At 46.1% G+C, this 9,395-nt stretch overlaps 1 annotated feature.

Annotated features, from left to right (window-relative positions):
• Window positions 333-502: a silencer, noted in NCBI's record as "fragment chr1:17621951-17622120 (GRCh37/hg19 assembly coordinates)". NCBI's record gives its function as "represses an EF-1alpha promoter that drives an FKBP-Casp9 reporter gene in an ReSE screen in K562 erythroleukemia cells {active_cell/tissue: K562}" and the evidence as "EXISTENCE:reporter gene assay evidence [ECO:0000049][PMID:32094911]".

Genomic DNA, 9,395 nt, shown 5'->3' on the forward strand with positions numbered 1-9,395 from the left:
GTGCCACTGCACTCCAGCCTGGGCGATAGAGCAAGACTCCGTCTCAAAAAAAAAAAAAAAAAAAAAAGAGTACTAAAGACTTTCTATTTCTTAACCTGGGTGGTGTTTACACGGTATTTAGTATTATCCCATATATGCACGTATGTTTACACACTCCTCCAGATGTGTATTTTGCAATTTTAAAAGATGCACACTTTTAAAAGATACAAAGGCAATCATGAATGCATATGTATGTGAATTAATCCAGTTACTCCACACTGTTCACACTGACAGGACAAAGAGGAGGTCTGGCCTCCAGTGGGCAGATTGCAGAGGACTGAGCAACCCACGGTGGGGGCGCTGCGGGTGGGTTGGCAGGGGGCCAGCTGCTGGAAGCTTGGGGAAGAGCAGGTTGTTGCACAGTGGGGACCACACCAGGATGCCATCACTGAGCCGCCTCTCTCTGGAAAAGTCCCTGGGCACATGTGGGTGGGTGGCAGCTGTGTCAATGAAGTCTTGCCCATTTCCCAGGGAGCACAGGTGCATGGGCATGGGGGAAAGAGGAAGGACCAGTCACCAGAGGAAGATTCAAGCCAAGAATCTTAAACTTGGGTCCCCAGGTGGGGTCCAGGGGTCCATAAATCCATCCAACTGTACACAGAAAATTCCATGTGCATGTTTCAGGCGATTGTGTTCCCAGCTGTCTTCTGCTTCTTGAAGGAGTGTTAAGCCTCCCCTAGCCTGTAGAAGATGCCATGTGTGCCCACCCACTCCTCCTACAATCCCTCCTTCAGCTCAAAGAGACCCGGCCTCCAAGTGCCGGCACCTGTACTGTTTGCCTGAGGCCTTCTCTGACCACCAGAGCCTGCTGACCAAATGGCCAGGGAACTAATACCACCCAGAGCAGCCCTCAGCAAATGACAAAAGGAAGTGGGAGTATAAATGCCCCAGTTCCCTTGCTCCTTGGGCTAACTCTGAGGCATGGGCTTCACACTACTTTCTAGCACTCCTCAGGGGGGTGATCTTCAGTTACTCACAGGTGGTAACTAGGTCATTCACAGACCCTTTACTCGCTTCTTTCCTTCCCTGACTCACTTTCCCACTGTCTACCAGTGTATCCTGCACCTCCCAAATAAACCTCTTGCACACAAATCCTTGTCTCAGAGTTGCCTTCTGGGGTTGCCCAAACTAAGAAATTCCCAGAAGATGAAGAACGCTAACCGAAGTCAGAAGAGGAAGTCCCTGCCTTCGTTCTGCATCCACTTGCCTGTAGCTTTAGGAAAGTTACAGCTTCTACCCGAGCCTCATTTTCCCCACATGCAAGAAAAGAAAAGCTAAGGGCATCTTGATTGCTTCCTTTAAATGTTCAAAAGACTAAATGACCCCATAGGATTAGGAACCCTGCCTTAAACTATGTGTTTGGTGCTGGTTAATTTTTTTGTGTCAACTTGGCCAGGCCACCAGTTCCCAGATATTTGGTCAAACACCCGTCTGGATGTTGCTGTGAAGGTGTGTTTTAGTTGAGATTTACATTTAAATCAATAGACTTCTAGTAAAGCAGATGACTTCCGTATTGTGGTGGGCCTCATCCAACTGGCTGAAAGCCTCCAGAGAAAAAAGACTGACACCCCCGCAAGGAAGAGGGAGTTGGAGTTCTACGCCTGTTGTCTTGAGCTGCAGTATCAGCTCTTCCCTGGTCTCCAGCCTGCTGGCCTACTTAACAGATTTTGGATTTGCCAGCCTCCACAATCATGTGAGCTGAGCCAATTCCTTGAATTCTGTCTCTCCCTCACTCCATATATATGAACATATATAGATGTAGATATCTATCTATCTATCTATCTATCTATCTATCTATCTATCTATACATCTATATGTTCTATTGGTTCTGTTTCTGTGTGTCCCTGATGCCTAGGACAGAGGGGTGCTCAGCAGAGGGGTGCTCAGCAGGTGTCTGTTGAATGAATCTAAATCAGAAGATCAGAGGGTCTGGGATCTTTTATCTCCCCCTGTATTTGGCCAGCAAAACCTTGTGGTTAACGCTTTGCAATCAGCTAAATCTGGGTTCAAGTCCTGATTTATTTTACTAACAGTTGTGTGATCTTGGTTGAGTCATTCCACTTCTCTGAGCCTATTTCCTTGCCTACAAAATGGGGTCAATAATGCCTTCCTCATGGGGTTGAGATAAGAATTATGTGAGGCCAGGTGCGGTGGCTCATGCCTGTAATCCCAGCACTCTGGGAGGCCAAGGCGGGCGGATCACCTGAGGTCAGGAGTTCGAGACCAGCTGGCCAACATGATGAAACCCCATCTTTACTAAAAATACAAAAGTTAGCCAGGTGTGGTGGCACGTGCCTGTAATCCTAGCTACCCAGGAGGCTGAGGCAGAAGAATCGCTGGAACCCAGGAGGCGGAGGCTGCAGTGAGCCGAGATCGTGCCACTGCACTCCAGCTTGGGTGACAGAGCGAGACTCCGTCTCTTAAAAAAGAAAAAGTAATTACGTGAGGTGGTACATGTCAGCAGCTCAGCCTGGAGCCTGCAGAGGGCTCAGCACACCATAGTCAATGTCACTGGCTGGGAACACGAACATCAGGACCTACCATTCTCTGCACGAAGGTACCTGAGGAAATATTATTTGGGGGCAGCATATTTGAAATCAGAACATTCCAGAAAAATTGAGGCCTGAATTTCTTGAGACCTGGAAAGAGGCCCTGACACATGAGCGTTGAAGAAATTGAATGGAGGTGGGGTGCACAAATAGTATGTTACAGCCATTTGAGGCCCTGATTAGTGAAAAATAGGATGAGAGCACTGAAGTAAGAGGAGATATAGCATCCCCATGCCTAACTCTTCTCCATCATGGCTTCTGGGCCCCGGAGTATAGGGCCAAAAGACACGTTCATTCTAAACCCACAGGCAGCTGAAGACGCCTGGGCAACCCTGCTTAGCAAGAAGGAAAGCTTGGGGAAGTCCAAGGCACCTGGGAAGAGAAGAACCAACCACCAACCGAACAGGCAGCTCTGCCAACACCCTTGGGACAGCATGATCCAGCCCCGCCTCATGACTTCTGCTGGGTGTGAATCACGGAACAAATAAATTTTGGAAAAGAGAATCACTCAAGCCTGACAGAGGAGAATGTGAGGTGTCAGAGTTATTTTAAACCAACCTGAGGTACAAGTTTTATGGCAGTGTTACATGAACATAGCTCCAGGTTCAACCTTCAATTTGCGGTTGGAAGGACGCAATCACAGTCCTAACCAGAAAAAGTAAAGTGATGAATCTGTGAGGTTGCAAACTGCCTGCAGTTTGCAAAGCTCCAGTTTCCCGGCTTTGGCACTAACCGTCTCCCACTTCTAGCCCCTCACCTCTACCCCAGCCCTGCCAACATCTCTCCTGACCAATATTGCTCTAACATAATAACAAGAACAATTACAACATCAACAACTTGATGACAAATACCGGGAACATTTGTTAATCTCATTAGGCACTAAATGAACATAAAATGCCACCATCAAAATAGCAGAAACAGAAACAAAAAAGAAAGTTTCTGGACAGGCCAGGGTGAAGTGAACAGCCTCGTGTGTTAAATACAGAGGTGGGTTTTGATATCATCCTTTGGAAAACAGTTTCAAATATCAGGAGTTCAATCTCTAGGAAAATAAACAAAGAAGTAACTCTAATCAGACACAAATCTTTATTAGGGATTCATAATAGCAAAAAATCAGAATCAAGCTGGTCAAAATGTTAGAAACCTATGGGAATGAGTAGGATGCTCATATATTGCTCCATTTGATGCAATATATGAAACCTCTGAGGTCTTTATGGTAATGCGACAGATACCTTTCATGTTAAGTGAAAAAATATGGCTACAGAAGAAAATGATCCATGAAATGACAAAGAGCTAAACAAGAAAGTAGAAGTGGTCTAAGTGATGGTGGTTGTAGTAATCATTACCTATGGAACAATTTCCATAGGTAATTAGGAATGATTTGCTTAAATTAGGCATGATTTGCTTTGACTGCATCTTTTAAGTTTTTAAAGTATGGAAAAAGAGGGAAGATCAGGTGTGGTGGCTCATGCCTGTAATCCCAGCACTTTGGGAGGCCCAAGCAAGCAGATCACTTGAGGTTAGGATTTCGAGACCATCCTGGCCAACATAGTGAAACCCCATCTCTACTAAAAATACAAAAATTAGACAGGTGTGGAGGTGGAGGTTGCAGTGAGCCGAGATCTCACCATTGCACTCCAGCCAGGGCGACAGTGTGAGACCCCATCTCAAAAAACAACAACAACAACAAAAACAAACAAACAAACAAAAAACAGTAGCCAAGACATGGAAATAACCTAAGTGTCCATCAACAGATGATTGGATAAAGAAAATGTGATACACACACACACGACACACACACACACAGAGGAATATTATTCAACCTTTGAAAACAGGAGAAAACCCTGCCATTTGAGACAACATGGATGAACCTGGAAGGACATTATCCAGGTGAAATAAACTAGGCACATAAAAACAAATGCTGCATATTCTCACTTATAACTGGCATCTTTAAAAAGTTGAACTCACAGCAACAGAGACAAGAATGGTGGTTACCGGGGATGGGGGTAGGAGAAGATGGGAGATGTTGGTCAAAAGGTAAAACTGTCCATTGCAAGATGAATAAATTCTGGAAAGCTAATGTACAGCATGGTGACTATGGTTAATAATAATATATCTTATACTTGAAATTTGTTAAGAGATTAGATCTCAGGTGTTCACATACACACACACTCACACACATAACTGTGTGAGGTGATGGATATGTCAGCTCGATTGTAATAACTGTGTGTGTATAACAAAACATACACTTTTTTTTATTTATTCATTTTTTCTGAGGTGGAGTCTCACTCTGTCTCCCAGGCTGGAGTGCAGTGGTGTGATCTCTGCTCACTGCAACCTCTGCTTCCCAGGTTCCAGCAATTCTCCTGCCTCAGCCTCCTGAGTAGCTGGGATTACAAGTGCGTGCCACCACACTGGGCTAATTTTTGTATTTTTAGTAGAGATGGGGTTTCACTATGTTGGCTAGGCTGGTCTCAAACTCCTGATCTCAGTTGATCCACCCACTTCAGCCTCCCAAAGTGCTGAGACTACAGGTATGAGCCACCTTGTACGGCCTCATACTCTTTAAATGTATATAATTTTTATTTGTCAATGATACCTCAAGAAAGCTGGAAAAAATAAATCAGTATTGCTACTATTAATAATAGTTTTGAAACAGTAATTGGAAAAAGTTAAAACAAAAACTATATAAAAGGCTGGGCGTGGTGGCTTGCACCTGTAATCCCAACACTTTGGGAGGCCAAGGTGGGTGGATCACCTTAGGTCAGGAGTTCGAGACCAGCCTGGCCGATGTGGTAAAGCCCCATCTCTACTAAAAATACAAAAATTAGCCAGGCGTGGTGATGGGTGCCTGTAATCCCAGCTACTTGGGAGGCTGAGGCAGTAGAATAGCTTGAACCCAAGAGGCAGAGGTTGCAGTGAGCCGAGATCATGCCACTGCACTCCAGCCTGGGCGACAGAGCAATACTCCGTCTCCAAAAAAAAAAATAAATAAATAAAAAACCTGTAAGATATGAAATCTAAAATTCTGTTAAAAATGGGAGGAAATAAAATTGTGTGCTGGAAATGACTATCTGATTGAAACCAGGTGATATTTTTATTTTGTATTTCCTTCAACTCATATCCCCCTCCACCACCATTTTTCTTATGATCCACTTATAGTAAGGAGGGGGAAATGGTTTCTAAACTTTTTAAAAGGAAACTGTGGAACTCACTAATTCTACCATGCAAAATATGAGGTCTCCTTTGTGGAGTTTCCATCACCAGAAAGCAAAGTTCCAAAACTGGTGGCATTTTGAGTCTCCTCCAGTGGGTAGGGTAAGAACTTTGAACATTGTCAGGGAGAGGTGTCTTCTTCAAACTCCCAAATAATGAGCTGGTTGTTTCCCCCCAAAATAGAAGAAATTTATCTTTTGACTTAGTCTCTGCCAAGCTGGGGAAGCCTCCTTTCCCCAGGGAGGAAAGCAGATTCTGAGCCTATTCTCCACTGGCTGGGCCAGATACCAGTTGTCACCAGCACCAAGAAAGCCTCTCTCACATGGTTGCTATGGGCCCTTCACATCCAACTGTCCAGTGGTGGAGGAAAAGTCTTGGACATTGAGCCAGCTTGGGTCTAAATTCCTATTAAAATCCCTGGTGGCCAACATGGTGAAACCCCGTCTCTACTAAAAATACAAAAATCAGCCATGCATGGTGGCAGGTGTCTATAGTCCCAGCTACTTGGGAGGCTAAGGCAGGAGAATCGCTTGAACCCGGGAGGTGGAGGTTGCAGTGAGCCGAGATCGTGCCATTGCAATCCAGCCTGGGCAACAAGAGTGAAACTCCGTCTCAAAAAAAAAAAAATTAGCTGGGCGTGGTGGCAAGCGCCTATAATCCCAGCTACTCAGGAGGCTGAGGCAGGAGAATCGCTTGAACCCGGGAGGCAGAGGTTGCAGTGAGCCGAGATCATGCCACTGCACTCCAGCCTGGGAGTGCCCCCCCAAAAAAGAGAAGGGGGGCATGTTGGGAGAAAAGCTGAGTGTTGGGAGAGAAGCTGAGGCAGGGCTTGCATGTCTGCTAGACTTGCTGGCTGCTTGCTTCTAGCACTCCCATTATCTCAAGCAGCCATATGTTTTTCATTCACTTGATACACTGTTTCCTTTCAACCCCCACATCCTCACCACCTGTTTGTTTGCATCCTCACCACCTGTTAGTTTGTTTGAGCACCAATAAACAGTGTGGGCTCCCAGAGCTCAGGGCCTTCTCAGTCTTCACACTCGCAATGGCCCCCTGGTCCCACTTGCTCTCTCAAAAGGTCTTTTTCTCATTCCTTTGACTCTGCCAGACTTTGTCGCCCCCACGACCTGGTTTTGGGTCTGATCACCCCAACATATGGTTTGGTGCTGTCTTTGTGATAGCGAGTGAGTTCTTGTGAGATCTGGTCATTTAAAAGTGTGTGGCACTTCCCCAGGCTCGCTCTCTCTCTTGCTCCTGCTTTCGTCCTGTGAAGTGTCTGCATTCTGCTTCACCTTCCACCATGACTGAAAGCTCCCTGACGCTTCACTAGAAGCCAAGAGGATGCCAGCACCATGCTTCCTGTAAAGCCTGCATGAGCCAATGAAACCTCTTTCCTTTATAAATTACCCAGTCTCAGGTATTTCTTTATAGCAAGGCAGGAAGAGCCTAATATACTACCCAATTTTAAGATTTATCATATAGCTACAGTAATCAAAATTGTGTTGTATTATTGGAGGAACAGACACAGATCAATGGAACTGAATATAGAACCTGGAAATAGCCCCACACATGTATGCCCAACATGTACAATTTTTGACAAAGATGCAAAAGCAATTCAATTTCAATTTGTTGAAAGAGAGTCTTTTCAACAGACGATGCTAGAGGAAGGAATGTATCTTAAAATAAATAGTGTCATAAATTCAGTAAAATACAGTATTTCTTGTGCACCTACTCTGTGCTAGGCCCTGTCCTAAGCACTAGGGAGATAACAGTGAGCAAAGCAAAGTCCATGCTTTCATGTCACTCACATTCTCATGGTCTTGGTCCCCAGGAGAAATCCTGGGTGCCAGAGAAGAAATGTAAGCACCTGGTGTCAAGGGTTGGGTAGGAGCCAGTTCCAGAAAGGGAATGCAGAGACATTTGCCTTCATCTGACTGGTCCCCTTCCTTTTCTCAAAGGTGGCAGAGGGGAAGGTTGCAGGCTTTTGATGCAGATAGATTTGGGCTCCATCTCCTGTCTCTGCCCCTAATGTGCTACTCATCTGTCAATGACTGACATTCACTGGGTTAGTGTATTGTTCACATGAATGGGCTCCAGTGCAGGGCAGAGCCTGGCACATGTTAGAGTCATGATTATGCCCTTGTGTGCCCATGAATCCTTCCAAAACCTAGAAGGATTCTGCAAGGGAGAGAAAGGAGAGATGCTGGGGGCAGGGAAGAGCTGTGTGAACAGAGAGGAGAAAAGACTGCCCCTGCAATACACACAGCAGGCAGGGGGCTCCGGGATGAACACTTTGCAGGAGGAAGGATTTTCTTTTTTTTCTTTTTTTTTTTTTTTTTGAGACGGAGTCTTGCTCTGTCACCCAGGCTGGAGTGCAATGGCATGATCTCGGCTCACTGCAACTTCTGCCTCCTGGGCTCAAGTGATTCTTCTGCCTCAGCCTCCCGAGTAGCTGGGATTACAGGTGCCTGCCACCACGCCCAGCTAATGTTTATGTTTTTAATAGAGACAGGGTTTCACCATGTTGGTCAGGCTGATCTTGATCTCCTGACCTCAGATGATCCACAGGAGGAGGGATTTTCTAGTTTCAGCCAGCCTGGATGATCTAGACATGCTCCAGTGTTCTGCTAGAAGTCATGAATTCAGAGAGGCTGAGAGACCAGGGTTCTTTGTGCTGGAAGGGTCTTCAGAATTCATTGGCCAAGTGACCTGGCCTGGGGGCAGCTGCATAGCCCTAGAGTGGACGAGGATGCAGGGGCTTGGGAGTTAGACCACGCAAAATTAAACGTAAGTGTCACCACTTCCTTCTGCGTAACCTTGAGTGGTTACCTAACTCCTCTGAGACTCGGTTTCCTCACCTGGAAAACGGGGAGAGATGTTAAGGTTGCTGTGAGGATTAGAGATGATGCATGTTAGGACCTGGCATAGGTCAGGGCTACACCAGGGCATGGCATGTTGGATGAAGCCAAATTTGAAACCCCCCTAGAGGCCGTGTGACCTTGAGCCTGGTGCTTCACTCTTCTGTAGAAATGAGATTGTACCTGTTGCCCCACTTAATGGTGAGAATTAGAAATAATAGAGCCCAAGGACCTAGTGACAGGTAAACACATAGCAGGCGTTAATAGATGGTGGTCTCTATTATCACCCTGGGTGCTTCTACATTTATGTTAAACAAAGCCTAGGTTAGCTTCTAAGCGAGGGCCAGGCACTTAGGAGGCATTCGGTGAATATTTGTTGAATGAACAGCTCAGTGTTGGGAATGAACTGTACTTATGCATGAATAATGCTGAAGCAAGAGCTAGGCTATCTGCTGTAAGAACAGCACTGCACTATACCCAGACACAGAGCCACTGGGAGAGTCCTCTGACCCTAATTCCTTTCCCCCAAATGATGTCATTGCAATCAACTGGAGCAGGCTAGCCAGCCAGTCTCTGGGACAGGAGCTCAGGTGGCCTCAGCCCTCTGGGCCCCAAATGCCTAGAGGGTATTTGGCAACACCCAGAACACCCTTGCTTCCTCTGCGTGAGCTGGGCTGGTGATTCTGCCTTTCAGCAGGAAGAGAGGCCTCTTCCTCCAGGGTTTCTGGCCTGG

This window comes from Homo sapiens, chromosome 1 (assembly GCF_000001405.40).
Source record: "Homo sapiens chromosome 1, GRCh38.p14 Primary Assembly".
Lineage (NCBI taxonomy): Eukaryota > Metazoa > Chordata > Mammalia > Primates > Hominidae > Homo > Homo sapiens.